General features: G+C 43.1%; 1 protein-coding gene across 1 annotated transcript in view; it reads left to right on the top strand.

The window, feature by feature from the left end:
- The window catches only part of F13A1 (coagulation factor XIII A chain), a 176,579-nt gene that overhangs the window by 40,859 nt on the left and 116,003 nt on the right, over positions 1-19,717 (top strand). The window contains exon 4 of the mRNA NM_000129.4: positions 12,995-13,246. Coding sequence (NP_000120.2) covers positions 12,995-13,246 — 252 coding nt within the window. The remainder of the gene's footprint in view (positions 1-12,994; positions 13,247-19,717) is intronic.

The raw sequence follows: 19,717 nt of genomic DNA, 5'->3' as shown, positions 1-19,717 counted from the left end.
AGTTGCCATGATTTTAACGAAATGAGCCTTTCTTGTAAAACCTAGAAGGCTCATTCTGCTCATATAATGGATGGAACACAAGCAAATGAGCAAATGGTGCTTTGGCTCCATAGACTTGCCATTTGCTGGGGGAAATTCAGTTGCTGTAGGAGATTCTTTACGGCATGTGTTCTGAGCTGACTGAGAACATGAAAGAGATGGGTCTCGAAGATGCTAAATGCAGTGCATCTGGTCAGTGACCTTCATGTTCAGTGCAAAGTGTGCCTCCCCACCAAGTCCCTCTCCACCCCTTGGGCTTCCAGACCCCAGCACGAGGGGTCAGAAACCCAAGAAATATGGAAACATTCTTTGTCAGTTGAAAGAATTGCATAACAGTTGGGGTCAGATGGGGCAAAAAGCTGGGTATGCAGTTTGGTTTATAACTGTGAAATCTGGCAAACTACAATAAATTAGACATTGTGACACCAACATCCTATTTCTCTGTCTCACATCTCTAGATCTTAAAGAGTTTAGCCTTCATGGATTGATAGAATAACACAGTCTTGTTTAAACTCATGCCAAGGAAGGGCTGGAAACTGCCCTAGAAACAATGGTCATGTAGATGAACTTTGTGCTTCTGGTGGCCACATTTTTTATACCATGTCCCCTGAGCAAGTTTCCCTATTTCCAACCTCCACTTTCCTCCCTATTTCCAACACCCAGTTCCAGCTTTTAGGAAAGGTACATAGTGCAGTAAATTTAAGCAAACACATTGCCTTTCCCAGGGATATAAACATTTCAGCATCATCTCTAATTTCTCTTCTGTTGGTAGGATTTTCATTACCAACAAGCAAAGGGGGAATATTGAGAGGTCAAGAGATCTTCATAGCAATCCTGATTGCTCTCCTGCAGTCTTCACAGAACAACCAAAGTGATTTTTTAAAAGAACTTAAAGCAGACCATGCCTCTTTTCTAGTGACTGCTTTTCTCAATCAGAATAAGATCCAAAGTCCTACAAAGCCCTGCTTGATCTGGCTGTCTCTGACATCATCTTCCATGGTTTCCCCTGCTCCAGGAACTTTCTCGTCTCCCACAATTCCCCTGCTCAGGCACTGTCACCTCCCACAATTCCCTCTGCTCCAGGCGTCTAATCTCCCCCAATTCCCTCTGTTCAGGCACCTCATCTCCCACAATTCCCTCTGTCCCAGGCATCTTATCTCCCACAGTTCCCTCTGCTCAGGCACCTAATCTCCCACAATTCCCTCTGCCCCAGGCATCATACCTCCCCCAATTCCCCTGCTCAGATACCTCACCTCCCACAGTTTCTCTGCTTCAGGCACATTGGCCTCCTCAAGCATGCCAAGTACCACCTCCCACAGGGTCTTTGCACTGATGACACCTGTCCCCTGATATTTGCACTGCTCATTCCCTCACTTTTCTCAAGTCTCTTCTCAAATGTCTCCTCTGGCCACTGTCTCTAAAATAGCACCCCCAGCTCTGACCCTCTCTGTCCTCTTAAGCTGCTCTAGTCATTTTTTCATAGCACTTGTCTCCGTTTGACGTATCATGTATTTATTTGTTTATTGTCCGTATACTCCCACTAGACTATACACTCCATTAATCTTTATGTGTTGACACTGCTGTATTCTCAGTACCTAGAACAGTGCCTGGCACTTAAATGGTGCTTAATAAATAACCTGTTGACGAAAAAGATCCTGAATCGTGCCACAGCAACAATTACTTGTTAATTGAAAAATCACAAATCTATACATTTGGAAAGGAGTCTTTATTTCTTATAAAAGGTTACAGCCTGCAGAGTGACTATCCGGACAGGCTGAGAAGCACAGCCTCTGGCAGAGGCTGAAAGGTGGGCACTTCAAGGGAAAGGAAGATGGAACAGGAATTTATGCTGAGCTGGTTGGCCAAATATACATATTCCACAGGTTACAGGAGGAGCTATGAACATTTATGAAGAGGGTCTTAATGTATGCATACTGAATAAACATGCATGTTATGTGTGACCCATGTTCGCTTTGGGGTGAGACTTAACATTTATATGTGCTTCAGTTAGGCCCTATACATCAAAAGGTGAAGCAGGGACAGGAATGCATTGTAGTGTGCAGCTTCGGTAAATCGTCCAGAACCAGTCCATGGTTGATAGTCTCTTACCAGGAGAAAGATGCTGAAATCAGTCTCTTACGCAATCAAAACTGTAGTTGTGGCTGGTGGAATGTGAGTTAGTTAGTCAGCATCTGGTGATGGATGAACTGTAGTTGTTCCAACATTGCTCATCTTGAGACCAGGGCTTGTTTAGCTGCTAGACAAAAAGAAAAACTTTGTGGCAGTTAGAACATAGTTTATTCTTTAAATGCAGGGGTTCATGACTTAATCCTTGCCTGGTGTGGCCTTGGGTCTTGTTTATAATTATATATTTTATTGCCACAGTGTCAGTCTTTTTTTTTTTTTTTTTTTTTTTTTTTTTTTTTTTTGAGACGGAGTCTCGCTCTGTCGCCCAGGCTGGAGTGCAGTGGCGGGATCTCGGCTCACTGCAAGCTCCGCCTCCCGGGTTCACGCCATTCTCCTGCCTCAGCCTCCCAAGTAGCTGGGACCACAGGCGCCCGCCACTACGCCCGGCTAATTTTTTGTATTTTTTAGTAGAGACGGGGTTTCACCGTTTTAGCCGGGATGGTCTCGATCTCCTGCACAGTGTCAGTCTTATGATCTCTATTTTAACATTGATTCTGTTCAATTTTGTCTAAACAGCAAAAGGAAAGGGAATATAGTGAGGTGTGTACCACCTCCCATCCCATCATGGCTGCGGCTCAGTTTTTAAGGTTTCTCTGGGGTCCCCTTAGCCAAGAAAGAGTCTGTACAGTTGGTTGGGAGTGGGGTGGGGATAAGATTTTACTTTTAGTTCTCACACCTTATTCACTACCTGTGTGGTTATGCTCAGAAATAAAAATAAAATAAGTTTAGTAAGATTTCTTTGCTATTATAGCCATCAGACACCATATAATACGGAGAATAATAATTTGTTCAGTTTATGAAATGCCCTTCACACACACTATTGTTTAATCCTCATCTTCTGGAATGCCAATTTTACAGATGGAAAATGCACTGAGAGGGTTCATTAGCCTCCCCAGTCACAGCTCTGGACCAAGCCGACCTGGGTTCAAATGATTGTTCTGCATCCTGATAGCTATGTAGCCTAGAGCTAGTTACTTAAGTTACCTGAGCCTCAGTTTTCCCATATATAAAATGGACATAACCCTTAAAGGTGATAGAGCAAATAGAAACTGCTCTAGATTTGTAAGCAGTGGGAGCTTACTGGAGGCAATTGGGTACACAAGCGAGTGAATGACTAAGAAGCCAAACAAACGACATGGTGAGGCAACCCAGGAATTAGGAACAGTAGAAAACTGCCACCACACCAGGAGCTGGAGGCACATGGAGGAGGAGGTCCCATCAGAACCCAGAAGGCATCAGCAGGTGCTGGAGCCATGGAGGAGACTCAGACTCTCACCTCAAGACAGAGAGAGCACAGGAGACACACCCTGACATCTCCCCTCCTCCTGCTTCCAATCCTCTCTTTGGCCGAACCTACCTCGAAGTCAGAGAGCAGAGGAGCGTGGGAACATGGCTTCCTGTGGAACCTGACAGAAGATTCTAGGGGTGCAGGCAATAGGTCTGAGAACAGCCAGTCTGTCAATAGGTGGAGTTGCTGAGACAAACTATAAGTGGTTGTTATTCCCGAATGGACAACAGGAAACACAAGTCCAGATTCTTTGACTCCTGTTCCTCCTGGTCCTTCGGAATTGAATGGGCAACGTGAACAAATCTGCAGTGTAATGTTATGCTCTGTAACCAACTTTGTCTACATTGTAGAACATTTTCTGCTGGTTATTTTTTCTTAAAGACTAAAAATATCCTGTCTTCTCTTAAATGAGGCAACACACATGTGGGTTAGGGAATTTCTAGAAAACTAGCTTCCTGGAGTAAATTTGTATCGCAGTTAACAACACCAGGTCCTAACTTTTGGAGCAAACTCCTCATAAAGCAGCATGTTCTCCCATGCTTGAAGCTTAGTCTGGAATCTTTGGGTTAGAGGGAATGACTGTTTGGTTCATGGCTGTATCTCACTTAAAACAGTGCCTAGGGCCAGGCACAGTGGCTCACGCCTGTAATCCCAGCACATTGGGAGGCCAAGGCGGGTGGATCTCTTGAGGTCAGGAGTTCAAGACCAGCCTGGCTAACATGGCAAAATTCCCTATCTACTAAAAGTACAAAAATTAGTGGGTGTGGTGGCCCACACCAGTAGTCCCAGCTACTTGGGAGGCTGAGGCAGGAGAATCGCTTGAACCTGGAAGGTGGAGGTTACAATGAGCTGAGATGGCACCCCTGCACTCCAGCCTGGGCAACAGAGCAAGACTCCGTCTCCAAACAAAACAAAACAAACAAAAAAAATAAAAAAAATGGTGCCTGGCACCTTGTAGGCACTGAAAAACTCTTTCAAGAATGAACAAAACCTGGGGTCGCCTATGGCTCTGCCCCCCTACTTAATGCCAACATCAAATACCTGTTGCGTCTACTTCCTGCTTCCGCTGGCACCCCTCCACTTACCTTCCCCCGAGAGTCAGTCAAAGACACCATCATGCCTCCCTTGAGCACTTCAGCACCCTCTGACTGGTTTCCTTGCTCCACTCTTGTCCCTCTCAAACCATTTTCCATCTTGCAGACAGACTGATCTTTCTAAAATGTAATCTCACCAGATCACTTAAGCTTTTCAATGGCTCCTGCCCCATCTCCATCCCCTCCCTAGGACACACTCTACATACCTTTGCACAGCGTTGGAGGTCCCTTTGCTTTTTACCCTCCCTGGGTCAAATGCTTCTTCTGCCACAGGTATCCTGAGTTTCCTGCCATTCCCTTTATGCACCATCCTTTCCTTATTCCCTCAGTTGGTTACTCCCCCAGCTGGGAAGACTTTTCTCTACCTTTTCCACCTTTAAGATTGTATCCCAAAACCACATTCTCTGAGGAATCTTCTTCAACTTCCACAGACACTGTTAGCCACTTCCTCCTCTGGGTTTCCACACTGTGTTCCTCGTGACCAGTAGTCCCAGGAAGAGGCTGGCATGCTGTAGGAATGTTTAAAATGCATGCACATTTCACTGAAGGGGCTTCACAGTCCTCTTTCTCAGAAATAAGCCATTCTTAGGGAGAAATTCTCCTATCTCAATGCTGTTCGTATTTTCTCTGAAGTTCATGTTATGTTCTTACTTCCTGTGAATGCCACTGGCATCATCCTGAGACAGGGTGTCCTCATGTTCACATTCCTGCCTTGGTTAGCCATCTAAGTGGTGCACTTCTTAAAGCCAGGGACCAGGTAGTCAGCATCAGGTGACAGCCTTATGATTTCTTTCTGATTCACTCAAAAAACCTAGCACGATGCTGGTTTCATGTATATCCCACAAAATTACGCCTTACATTTACTCCAAAAGAGGCTTTAAGTGATGTAGGAAGCACTGAAAGAAAAGTAAAATAAAATCAAGGTAGAAAAGACACCTTAACAAGTACCTAGCTTCCATTTGCCAAATATTTATTGAGCACCTACTACGTTCCAAACATCATGCAAGCTGCTGGGTATACAAAGTTAAACAAAACTCCATCTCTGTCTTCACAAAGTTTCCCCCCAACCCTACCTAAGTTTGCCTGAGCTAGAATAAACATGGCCAGGAAGGTCTCTTTTCTTTAGGAAACATCTGGAAATATGTATGTAATCTGCCAATGGCAACTTAGCAATGGAAAGGGCGGATTTCTACAGTCCTCAAAGAGATGATTTGCTTTTGAATACTTGTGTTTCTCTCCTCTTAGTTGCTATCATCCATGATTTCTGTGCCTTTTTGATTGTTTCTTTTTTGGTGGTGGCATTTTGTTTTTGTAGCTGGTAACCTGGTATTTCTAAGAGTTATTTGGTGACTTATTCCCACTTGGTCTCAGCACACTCCCTTTCCATCCTAAGACTGTTAGCACAAGTTTTGCTTCCTTTTCCAAAGCAACTGTATTCACACTTCCAGCGCTGCCACATACATCATGCTGTTACCTTCATACTTCAAGGGCCCATTTGGAAATAGATTGATTATTTTGAACATGAAAGGTGCGCCTTGGGAAAAACAAATGAATCAAATGGAAAAATGAATTAACATCATGAAATTTACCTTCTCAGCTGAAGACATGATAGATTCCTGTGTTCCTTAGAGACAGTCCTCTTATAAGAATGAACTCTTAAGGGAAGTCTGCAGGTAGATGGAGTCAGGGCTCAGCTTAAAATGTGTTTATATAAGAATGGAAAACACCCTCTGAGGAAGAAGCTTAGAAATAAAAAAGTTTCTTTCTTGTGAGGGGTGCTTGGATTGAACACCCAGATTGCTGTGGGCATCTCATTCCAGAGCTTCTAACATCTCTATGATGATCTTAGTGGGGCTTGCCATTTGCAGAGAGCTCAGTTCAGCCTCACTGACATTTATTAGGTACCGACTGGGTACAAAACACTGTGACATTCTATGGGAGCTATACAGACATATTAGACAATGTCTTCAGTTCAGTTTAACAAGCGGAATAGATATCTAAGTGAATAAGGAGAAAAATGTTTGTTTGGGCTTTTCTGGCAAATAATTGTTATAGGAAAAGGGGTCTCGATGCAGACCCCAAGAGAGTGTTCTTGGATCTCATGCAGGAAGGAATTCAGGGTGAGTCACAGAGAGCAGTGAGAAGAGATAGTTTATTAAAAGCTGCTCCATTACAAAGTAGGGTATCCTCAGAAAGCAAGTGGAGGAATGCGCTGTCATTGTTTTAAGCTTTTCTTACATAGGAGTCTTGTCTATGTAAAGACTAAACAAAGCTGTGCTTTTGTGTGGGTAGGATGACAGCATGACAAAATTTATTATTCTATTGATTTAAAGAAAACTATCCTTGACATTTTAGTGTGTGAGTATATCAAAGCATAACTGTAATTCTCTTGAAAGTATATATCATTATGGGTATTGGGACATCTGGACTTTCTGTTGTTGTAGGAGTTTGTCCTTGCAGGCATTACTAAGTTGTTTCCTTAGCTGTCAACATCTTAGGACCATGGGTTTTGACTGGCAAGGAAAGTGCCTTGCTAGTTTTCAGATGCAGTTGATTTAAAAAGGTTGTGACCCTGGCTCTCCTACGTTCGTTTCCCTAACGATATGGCCAGAAGTCTTCTTATTACTAAGTATAGCATATGAGGGGCACAGACTGCAGCCACTGGACTTACAGATGACATGCCCAAAAGAGGAGAGAAGTGGGAGTGTCCTGAGTTATCAGCTTCTTTATTTTGGAGCACGAGAGGGAGCAGTGATTGATAGATGTGTCTACTCAGTCACTGATACCAACCCTCCTTGATGGCAAGTATGTTCTTCCAGGTCCTAGGCATGAGAGAGGTGGAGTCAGAACAGTTCTATTAGGAACAATATTCAACCATACTGACCATACCATGTGCTATTTGATGTCCTTTCTAGACTACCTGGGAACCTAATCACCACCTAGGACATTGTATTTTTAATGTAAAAATATTTCAAAGCCATCAACTAACCCAAAAGATTAATTTTTTAAAAGGCAATGAATTCTTCTAGTGGGCACTACCAATGCAGGGCTTTGCGTGCAGTGGGCTCTCTGGTCTGTGGAATGCATTGAAAGGTTGAGAGGACATTTTCCCCAGGGTCACATAGCACTGAATTTGAGCTGTGGCTAGATTTCTCTTTCCTATCTTGTGAAGAATACTAATATCAAGAAACTGTGCACAAAGCTCAATCAAGCCTAGGTAGCTAAGGTTGGAAAAGAGTAACATCACAAATGGAATTAAAGATTTTCATCTTCTTCCTCCTACATCCCAGCTGGGGGGATTAAGGTAGGTCTGTGTAAGGAGAGTGAGGCCCTCAGTAAAGGGACAATGAGACATTCGAATATAGGCATATGGTCCAAGCGGCTTTTGCCTTAAAAACATTAGTTTTGTGGCCTCAATAATAATTCACAAATGGAAGCAAGCACTGAAACTAAGAGCATATGTTAATTTCTAGATCACTTGGGAAGATGGCACTAGTTTTTGATAAGTGTGAAAAAATGCAATTGGTAATTATAATATTTCCTCATGTTTAGTAGTCCAATTTCAAAGGCTGCAATTATTAAAAACAAAACGGGATTCCTTTCTTGGATGCTGTCTTTCCCGATGTCTTTTTCTTGCCCTGATGTTTTTAACGCAAAGTTGCATGATTTGGGGGAGAAAAACACATCTATCCAGGCATTATATACTCTAGGCAAACACGTGCATGGAGGTTCCCTGTATGGAGCCATGTTTTCCATCCAGATTGGGCCAAGGATAGCTGATGGGCAGTCATGGATGTTGATGGATGGGTTTTCCCAGGGTAGCTGGATTGTGGTCTCGTAACCATGCCGACTCCTGGGGCTGAGAAGGGCTATTTAGTGAAATGAAATACTACTCTGTCACAACTTCCTCACTCACAATTCAATCATGGAGAGTACTTCCCCAGTGCTGTCACTGAAATCATTACATTCAGAATTAAACATGGGTGTAATAGAGCAGTCCCTGAGGTTCTATTGGCACATCAGGTTCCACATTCCTAACCAGCTTTCCCATACAGGAATATGAAAAGCCTGCCAATCAGGATTCTTTTTCCTTCCTTTGGAATTAATCTCACCACTCCCTGTCCCTGATAACGCTTCCATAACCTGTTCCCGGGCCACGTGGCATCAGCGTATCAGCAGGATTGCTCAGCCTTCACCCTTTGGTGTCTGACATTACTTTGGAAGTCTTCCCAATGCAAATCACAAAAAAATGAGTTGGCCCAGAGAGACCCTCATGCAGGTTCTCTCCACCTGGTCTTCCTTCTCTTCACTCACTCAGTTGTTACCTCCTTTGATCCACATTTCTGGCTCACACAACTCTTATCCACGGCAGCATATTTTCTCAATGTCCCTTTTCCTCATATTCCTTTGGACTTTCCAGTTTTATTCTTCTCTTGTCTCCTTTCATCTCCCTAGATCCCTTTTGCCATTCTCCACCTTCCTCCACAGAGGAAGCATGACATGGAGCAAAGAGAACAGGCTTCCCTGTCCCCAGTTCTGTCTCCACTTCTGCCTAGCTATGTGATGTGCACACATGACGCCCTCACCAAGCCTCAGTTTCCCATCTGTAAAAATTTCCTCACAGAGGTTTTGTAAGGACCCCAAGAAATAAAACTTATTTCCTGTCACTTTATTTGCATCACTATGTGAACTGCCTTGGCAACTCTAAACAACTTTTGCAATCTTAAAATTGAATATTTTAGCCATGAATCATAAAATCAATAAAAAGCTACAAACTTCCTATGTTTTCAACACCCCCTGAGACTGTGGGGAATTTAGGCGACTTTAAGGAAACTAAAGGTTGACCTACTAGTAGTACAGATGTTTGCGAATAGTTTAGAAACATATTTCTCCTTGGAAGGAGAAGCTAGGTGATGGTATTTTCTTCTTAGGCTCAAGTGTTAGACTTCAAGAGTCTGTAATAAATCGCTCCTTAAATAAATAAAATGTGAAATCCTCTAAGGCAGATGTTGGCAATTGTTTACTGTAAGGGCCAGCTACTGTGTTAGGCGTTGCAGACCATAGGGACTCTGTCACAACTACTCAACTCTGCTCTTACAAGAGTAGGGTTGTATTGTAGCACAATAATACACAAGCAAATCAACATAACTGTGTTCCAATTAAACTTTATATAAACAGTAGGTAGGCTGGGCGCAGTGGCTCATGCCTGTAATCCCAGCACTTTGGGAGGCCTAGGCGGGCAGATCATGAGGTCAGGAGATCAAGACCATCCTGGCTAACAAGGTGAAACCCCGTCTCTACTAAAAATACAAAAATTAGCCGGGCGTGATGGTGGGCGCCTGTAATCCCAGCTACTAGGGAGGCTGAGGCAGGAGAATGGCATGAACCCAGGAGGCAGAGCTTGCAGTGAGCCAAGATTGCACCACTGCACTCCAGCCTGGGCAACAGTGCAAGACTCCATCTCAAAACAAAACAAAATAAAACAAACAAAAAAAAAAACAGTAGGTAAGCTACATTTGGCCCGCAGACTATAGTTTTCTAACCATTGCTCTAAAGGATGAATGGAGATTACATTGATCATTAACAACTCAGAAAATCAGAAATTATGATTGAATGGGAGGTTTCAGGTGACTCCATGATGATTCTGGAATTATTAAGGCTTTTGGTTACTAATAAATGGCAACCCTTTTTTTTTTCTTTTTTTACTTCTACAAGTTCTCCTGATGGAAAAATCAGTCAGCTCAAGGTTTTTTAGTTTGGGATGAATTGGCCTTTGAAATAGATTTGGGCTTTGATAGGTTTGTTGGCAATTGGTAAACCCATCCTAATTTCCCACAGATGGAGCAGAGAAGGATCACTTAGAGGAATCAGAAAGCCCAGGACAACAGGGAAGTAATGATAACTACCAATTATTAAGCTGCCCTCCCCATCACAAACTATGACCACCATGATCTCCATTTTGTAGAAGAAGCAAAGTTTTAGTTGACAGGGGATGAGTGCTTTGCCCGAGATCACACAGAAGTGTTAGAGCCAGCTGAATTGCTTTCCCCTTAGCCACAATATCTCAATCAACACAAGTAACGTACTTTCCTTGGGACATTCACCTTTCTTCAGATTCAGAACCAGAGAGCAAAAAAGAAATCACCCCTTCTTCCTTCTGCCTTTACTTTCTAGTAGAAGTTATACTTAAAAAAAAAAAACAATTTGCCAGGCATGGTGGCTCACACCTGTAATCCCAGTACTTTGGGAGGCTGAGGCGGGGGGGAACACCTGAGGTCAGGAGTTTGAGACCAGCCTGCCCTACATGGCAAAAACTTGTCTCTACTAAAAATACAAAAAGTTAGCCAGGCATGGTGGTGGGTGCCTGTAATCCCAGCTACTTGGGAGGCTGAGGCAGGAAAATTGCTTGAACCCAGGAGGCAGAGGTTGCAGTGAGCTGAGACTATGCCACTGCACTCCAGCCTGGGTGGCAAGAGTGAAAGTCCTTCTCAAAAAAAAAAAAAAAAAATGAGTGCCCCCTCAGCCAGCCCCTACTGTGTGCTAAGCATAAAGCTTTCATTATATTATAAAATCTATTGTCTTTTTATTTCCCAAACTAAACTGCAAAGAATCAAGAAAATGGAAGCTAAGACAAGTAAGTGATTTGCCTGAAGTTGCACCAGTAGTTAATAGTGGAGTCAGAATTTGACATGGTTCTCATCAACTCCAAAACATTTTCAACTCACACAGCTGCCATAGAGCTTAGAACAGGCCGACTCTCAAACCAGATGGTCTGGGTTCAAATCTGAACTCCACTATTTGCTAGTTGTATCACCCTAGGTAAGTTGCTTAATGACTCTTAGTTTCCTGATTTGTCAAATTAGGATGATGATAATGGTTTCCTTCTCATCTTTTGTTATAGGGAATAAAGGGGTAATAAGAACATGGTAAGCCACATGCTTTGGCTTTTTCTGTGGAATATCAGCTCTATGAGCACAGAAGTTATTGTCTGTTTTCTTCACTGTTGTATCCTTAGCACTTAGGATAATGTCTAGCACATAGTAGGCAATATCAATATATGAATGAAAAATGTCAGAAGTAGTCTTTAAATTAGGTTATGACTGGATTCAAAGTCAGCATGAAAAAGCATAGCTTTCCTTTTGCTTTACTATTTTTGTATAACTTGGATTTGATAGGTGAAATTCAATATGAGTCTTTGAAGTCTTAATTTAAAGTGTAACAGTGGAAACTAGTGATTGTCTTCATTCTTTCCATGTTCCCAACAAAAGTAGAAGTTAGTACAAAGGTGAAGCTTTTAAAACAAAAGTGGAAGTTAGCACAAAGGTGAAGCTGAGGTTGAGCACATAACAGGTACAAAGAGTGCTTTCAGATGTACTTCTCTAGTTTTTTGCTATTCCCCAAAGTGCATCCTTACATAATTAGCTTTAAAATTCCTTTCATCCCTTATTTTTTTTTAAATCTATCATTAACACGTAGATTTTTATCTCTAAGTTTATTTTTACTAAACTTGCATCTTTTTAAATACGACGTATTCTGAATCTAAATCAGTATTTAGTGACAACAGCTGCTGGGAACCACTGTAATAAATGAATTATGGGTCCCATTTACCTGGCAAGATTGCCTTTGATGTCTACACGTCAACAGTGAAAGGGGTTCCAGAGAAAAACAAAGCCTCTGGTAAAAAGGGCAAGCTCATCCCAAGATTGAGTATGCACGAAGAGGGAGCAGAAACAGGAGATGGGTGCCTCTGGAACAAACATGCTTATGCAGGTGGGTTTATGGAGGGGCTCCTGAGAGGGTGAGTCCCATGAGTCTTCAAGAGCATTACTTAGATGCCATGGCACCTAGGCAGAAAACAATGTTTAAATTTGTGCTGGATTTACAAGTATATGTGATATTCATTCTGAGTGGTATAACCTATATCCCTAATAGCAAAGTGTTGAAGTTCTAATCTTTCTCAGTGGTTTGCACTGTGTAAATTATTATTTTCATTAAGATTAAGCATCCTCACAGAATTGCACAGCAGTAACTTATGTAACCACCTCCTTAGAATGTTCTCTCTCTGACAATATGCCTACCAAAGACTCTTTTAAAGATCTTTGAAATTAGTAATTAGGGAGGTTACAATGGAGCACTGTTTGCTTGTCTTAATGTGGAATCCTCTACATGCTTTATAGAAAACAAATGAAGTGAATAAGTTTTGCTCTTGAAGGTTCTCCTGCTTACAATCAAAGTAATTTGCAGACTTGCCTGATTTGTATGTTTCTTCAAGTCAAGAATAATTCTAATGGATTACTCCTGTCCCTTCAGCTATAAGATAACAGAGTGAGAACAAAAATGGCTTGTGAAATCAACCTAACAGAGTATTTCTTCTCTCTTCTCATAGGTCGCTACCCACAGGAGAACAAGGGAACCTACATCCCAGTGCCTATAGTCTCAGAGTTACAAAGTGGAAAGTGGGGGGCCAAGATTGTCATGAGAGAGGACAGGTCTGTGCGGCTGTCCATCCAGTCTTCCCCCAAATGTATTGTGGGGAAATTCCGCATGTATGTTGCTGTCTGGACTCCCTATGGCGTACTTCGAACCAGTCGAAACCCAGAAACAGACACGTACATTCTCTTCAATCCTTGGTGTGAAGGTAAGAGGCAGACATTTAGTTTTCTCATTTAAAAATTCACCTATTTGGCGGGGTGCCATGGCACATGCCTATACTCCCAGCTCTTTGGGAGGCCAAGATGGGAGGATCGCTTGAGGCCAGGAGTTTGAGACCTAGTCTCTAAAAAATAAAAATTAAAAATTAGATGGGTGTGGTGGTGCACACCTGTACTCCCAGCTACTTGGGAGGCTGAAGTGGGAGAATTGCTTGAGTTCGGGAGTTGGAGGTTACAGTGAGCAATGATTGTGCCACTGTACTCCAGCCTGGGCAACAGAGCAAGACTCCGTCTTTGAAAAAAGAAAAAAAACAAGCTCATGTATTTCCAATACATCTCTTTTTGAAGGGGTAGTAAGATTATTCTAAATACATATGCCTCTCCTACATATACCATCTTTAATGATTGAAAGAGAAAGATAGAAAATTCATCCTCCATGTGTATGAAGATAAAACCTCTATATGTGAAGTCAATGCTGCTATACATTTATTTCGGGATTAATTGGAGATTGTCTAAAGTTGCAGTTAGTTATTTGTGGAGCTATTAATTGCAGTTTTGTAATTAAAAGTAATTGCAAAAATCACAATTACTTTTGCACCAACCTCACCAACCTAATATATGTTGACAGTATAACCTCTGTACACTATTACTCTGTAAACAAATTGGGCTTATTAAGCTTGATTATCAAAACTATTAGAGTCTATAACTCTGACTTCAGAAAAATAAAATAAAGTCGACGCTGTTCATAGTAGAACTAACCTCTCTATCCCCCTACTTTAAGAACAGAAAGTCTGTATATCTAAAGGATTCCACAAAGTTGTTTATGTGCATAGTGGGTGCAAATTTTGCAAACCATAACTCTGGATGTGCAAAGATGTAGCTGTACTTTAATATAATATAACTTGATCTCTAGTGCTATTTTCAGTCTTCCTTTCTGTCTGCGGCAGAAGCTTAATCTAGTTATATTCAAATAAAACTCAGTCAAGTTCAATGATTTCTCTATCAATTCTGTTTTGTGCCTCAGTCACACATAGCATTTTCTCCTCATCTTCATCTCTGCCCTTTCATACCTCTCCCCTGCTCCCACACTTTGTACGAAGCTGTTTTAAGTTCCAGAGGCAGATGCAGATGTTGCAGCAGCATCAATGTGGGAGAGACCACTTCTAGGTCCTAGGAAATAAGGCAGTGAAAGATATGAAAGCTCACATGGGGCAGGAGACTTCCCATGGCACCCTACCCCATATGCACTGCTCTCTAACATCATCCAAAATGAGCCCATATTATTGCTGATTTTGAATGATCCTTGTATGTGAAAGTCACATTTGAATCAGGGTTAATCTGTCCTAGATATAGATAAGTGCACAACAATATTTGCTACTCATCTAGAACATACACCTTGGTCCTACTGATCTTTTCTTTGTTTTATATTTATATTTATTTACTTTTTGTAGAGACGTGGTGTCACTATGTTGTCCAGGCTGGTCTCGAACTCTTGGGCTCAAGCAGTGCTCCTGCCTGAGCCTCCCAAAGTGTTGGGATTACAGTCATGAACCACCATGCCCAGCATGGCTTGGGAATTACCTGTTCCACTAGTGTTGGCAAAAGGCGCCAAGCTATTCCTACACTCCCTATACATCCATCCTCATCATATTGTACCCAACACTCCTATCTATGAGACAGATATTCAAGGTAAATGGTAACAGGAAATGTTAACTGGGCCATGTGCAGTTCAAAAAATGAACTCTTGATAGTAATCTTAAAACCAGATGTGAGGCATTTGCAACTGGTTGATGGGGTGATATTTACAGAGATGAAAAATACTGAGAGGATCAGAGTTACAGATATATAAATTAAGATTTTGAATATGTTAAGTTGGAGATAACCATAGATAGACAGCAGAAATGACAAATAGGTATGTGAATCTGGAGAAGAAAATCAGAGATATATATTTGGGAGTTATCTGTACCTAGGGAGAAAATATAGATAAAGAAGGAAATAGGATATAGTATCTAGCCTTCAGGAACACCATCATTTAGGAGTCCAGTAGAGAAGGAGTCAGCAAAAGAGAATGAGATGGAAGAGTATGTAGGAAGCAACCTATTCTAAGAAAATTGTATTTAAAAATTCATACTTATCAATCAAGAGTTTGTTATTGACTTTCTTTTTATTACAAAAAGAAAATCCTAGGCTACATATAACTGTTCAGAACTCTAGGAAATTTCAGGAATGCTATAATTTACCCAGACTTTGGTTTGTTTGCAACTTTTCTGGATTATATCATGTGTGTAAATGGGATATGTGTCTGCATTCATTTCAACTTATGTGACCACTCTTCTTGACGGGAAAAGGGTTAGTTAAGTTGCTTGACATATTAACTTTCAGGATAACTACTCAGGAGGTGGACAATCTAATAACCTTCTAATTGCTGCCTTGATCTTCAGTTGTATCCATGATGAGCAGCTTCCAGATACCTCTGTTCTGAAAAAGTCACTTAGGTCTGGAGGCGTTCTTGTTCTAGAGGCTGTACAGGGACCTCCCCTAGGTTTTCAGTTCATGGAAAGGATTGGAGGAAGGTGGGACAAAAACCAGAGACCAATTTGGAAGCTGTGGTCTAGGACAAAGATGATGATAAACTAAACATGGTGGTACCAGTGGAGATGAGAAGGGGTTAGATTGGAGATCTATTTTGTATTTAGAACAAAAATTGCACAGGGATTCAAGATGAGAAGTAAAGAAATGGGAGGACTCAAGAATAACTCTAGATTTCTTGTTAGACCAATTGGGTTGATGGCGGTGCCATTTTCAGAGCTGGGAAAACTGTGGGAAGTGGAGGGGAAGCACTGGGGGTGAAGCTAAGAGTTACATTCAGAAATGTTAATTTGGTGATGTCTATGAGACATGCAAATGAAAACGTCAAGTAAGCACTTGAATAAAGTGAATCTAGAACTCAAAGGAGATGGCTGAGCTAGACATGTAAACATGGGCACGGTTAGGAGCAATAACGGACACAAATGATTCAGGGTCATTAACAATTAAGAGTTGAGACAAAGGAGAAGTCAACAAAGGAGGCTGAGCAGGAGCAGTCAGTGGAGCGCAAGGAGATCAAAAGAGCCCAGAGCCAGACACATTGATAGATTCAAGACAGCAGTCAACTCTGTTTAATGCTATGATTAGTTGAATAGGATAGGGGAGGAAAGTGGCCATATAGTGTGGAAATATGGATGTCTTCGATGATCTTGAAAAGGACGGTTTCACTAAAGTGATAGAGACAGAAGCCAGGGAGATGGTCATGGGCTGTGTTGTAAACAGGAGGCGAGAAAGTAGAGACGGCGGGAGATGGCACCTTTCTCAAGACTTTCTGTAGCACCTAGATGTTGAAGCGAAGGTCAAAGGAGAATTTTTTAAAGACAAGAGAGAGTGGGTGTTATTTTATGGTGACGGAGAGGAACCAGGAAAGAGAGTTTGCAGTCCAGAGAGAGGACGGTGGTTCACAGCCTTGGCTGCACGTTGCAATCATCTGGGAAGCTTTGAAACTATGGATGCTTCAGTCCCCCATGCAGGCATTCTGATGTAATTGCTCTGGACTGCAGCCTGGGCTTTGGGGTTTTTTAAAGTTCTGCAGGTGATTCTTGGAGCTAAGGTTGAGAAGTTTCAGGAGTGAAATCCTTGAGTGGTTGGAATCCAGGGAACAGGTGAAGAAGGGCCTGTGATGGGTGGGGCTATCTACTCTCTCCAGAGACAGGAGTAGAGTAGAAGAAGAGGGGTGCAGATTTTCCAGTTTAATGGAAGAAGAATGAGGTGATTGCCATTTTGTGACTCCTTTTTTTTTTTTTTTGTCAGTGAAGTGTAAAGCAAAGTCATGTGTTGAGAAGCAGCAGCAAGGAAGGGCATGAAACGCTTGATAGGGAAGATGTGAGCTAGTCATCTGGAGGGTAGAAGGTGAACTTATTACAGGGACATGCCGGGAGGGTGCTCCCTGCTTCCAGAACACAGGGCAAACTAGCACAATCTTCTTCATTACTTGGCCTGTGGAGGCCCAAACATCTCTGCAAATTCTTTAGGGATTTCTGACTTCATGGCTGCCTCTGCCTCTAGGAGTCCTACTCACACTTGTGCTGCTGCAAGTGAGAAACTTGACCGTCACCTTCAATTTCAATGTTGGCAACAACAACAAAAGCAGCCACACACAACATCTGTGAATGCCCAGACCTTAACTGCAGTTTGGGATGGAGGGTGAGAGCAGGAAGGATGCACTCTGTGGTCACCACGCTTGGAGCACATCAGAATCACCTGGAGGGTCACCACGCTTGGAGCACATCAGAATCACCTGGAGGGTCACCACGCTTGGAGCACATCAGAATCACCTGGAGGGTCACCACGCTTGGAGCACATCAGAATCACCTGGAGGGTCACCACGCTTGGAGCACATCAGAATCACCTGGAGGGTCACCACGCTTGGAGCACATCAGAATCACCTGGAGGGTCACCACGCTTGGAGCACATCAGAATCACCTGGAGGGTCACCACGCTTGGAGCACATCAGAATCACCTGGAGGGTCACCACGCTTGGAGCACATCAGAATCACCTGGAGGGTCACCACGCTTGGAGCACATCAGAATCACCTGGAGGGTCACCACGCTTGGAGCACATCAGAATCACCTGGAGGGTCACCACGCTTGGAGCACATCAGAATCACCTGGAGGGTCACCACGCTTGGAGCACATCAGAATCACCTGGAGGGTCACCACGCTTGGAGCACATCAGAATCACCTGGAGGGTCACCACGCTTGGAGCACATCAGAATCACCTGGAGGGTCACCACGCTTGGAGCACATCAGAATCACCTGGAGGGTCACCACGCTTGGAGCACATCAGAATCACCTGGAGGGTCACCACGCTTGGAGCACATCAGAATCACCTGGAGGGTCACCACGCTTGGAACACATCAGAATCACCTGGAGGGCTTGTTCAGCCACTTCTGTGCAGCACCCTCAGGTTGAGTAGGTCTGAGGCCTGGCCTGAGAATTTGCATTTCTAACCAGTTCCTGGGAGATGCTGTTGCTGCTGGTCGGGGTCAACACTTAGCGGACCACTGGTTTCATAATAATCACGAAACAATAAAGCTGGGCATGGCCCCCAGAGCAGCCTGCGGTCCCAGCTACTTGGGAAGCTGAGGCAGGAGGATTGCTTGGGCCCAGGAGTTCGAGGCAGCCCCGCCAGCCTGTCTCTAAGAAGAAAGAAAGACAATAAGCAATAACTTTAAAACTCAAGAGGCAGGGCCGGGCCCAGTGGCTCACGCCTGTAATCCCAGCACTTCGGGAGACCAAGGCAGGCAGATCATGAGGTCAGGAGTTCAAGATCAGCCTGATCAACATGGTGAAACCCCATCTCTACTAAACATACAAAAATTAGCTGGGCATGGTGGTGTGTGCCTGTAATCTCAGCTACTCAGGAGGCTGAGGCAGGAGAACTGCTTGAACCTGGGAGGCGGAGGTTGCAGTGAGCCGAGATCGTACCACTGCACTCCAGCCTGGGCCACAGAGTGAGACTCCATCTCAAAAAACAAAAACAAAACAAACAAACAAAAAACCTCAGGAGATTATAATTTACTCTTCTTAAAATTTCACTGGCTCTACCCTGAACCTAATTCCAGTCTCTCTCCCTTACCACCCCTTCTCTCTCTCCTACTGTTCTCCTTTATTCTCTGAACTTTTCTCTCCCATTCTGTCCCAGGAGCAAATTCTCCTTCCTTAATGCAGAGGGATCCAGTGAGCTTTATTATTTTTGTTGCTTGATCTCTTCCAACAACCATGCTTTTGGGCCCTGAACACCATTTTTTTAAATGAAGTGAGAGAAAGAGTTCATCTCCCCACTTATTGTGTGGTTTCCCGGCCTAGCACGCAAAGCATAACCCAAAAAGGGGATGATATGATGAACCGCTCCCCCCAACACACACACAAGCACATACACTGTAGCCCAGCAGTCCCCTGCAGTTTTATGCTTGTGTGTGTGTTAATGCATAACAAAGGATTCAGCGCTATGGCCTGGTAACTGGAAAGTAGGTCAAAAGAGAGGGGTGAGACTGTCGCCCAAGTGAAAAAGATAGCAGAAGATAAGAAGGAAAACTGTTTCCAGAAATTGTCAAAAGACAGCCAGGTGAACAAGATTGTGGCCCGAGGTGGCACAGGATGCTGGGCTGAAAATTACAGCAGCATGCACAGCACTTATTGATAGGAGAATGCTCAGCTGTGCTCCTGAGGGCCCTTCAGCCTGCTTTGCATTCATAGGCAATTTATCCTCCTTAATCACTAAATCATTAATGGGGATCAATAGCAATGCCACATCAGTGAAGGCAGGGGTGCATGCGGGGAGAATAATTGCTTGCTTAGTTTTTAGTTTAGTGGTGCTAACCGGGCTTCGGGTCCATTCTGGGAGGAAACCCTTCTCCTGGGTGTTA

This window comes from Homo sapiens, chromosome 6, assembly GCF_000001405.40.
Source record: "Homo sapiens chromosome 6, GRCh38.p14 Primary Assembly".
Taxonomy (NCBI): Eukaryota; Metazoa; Chordata; class Mammalia; order Primates; family Hominidae; genus Homo; species Homo sapiens.
Note: the sequence above shows the minus strand (reverse complement) of the source record. Positions and strands in the feature narration are given on the sequence as shown.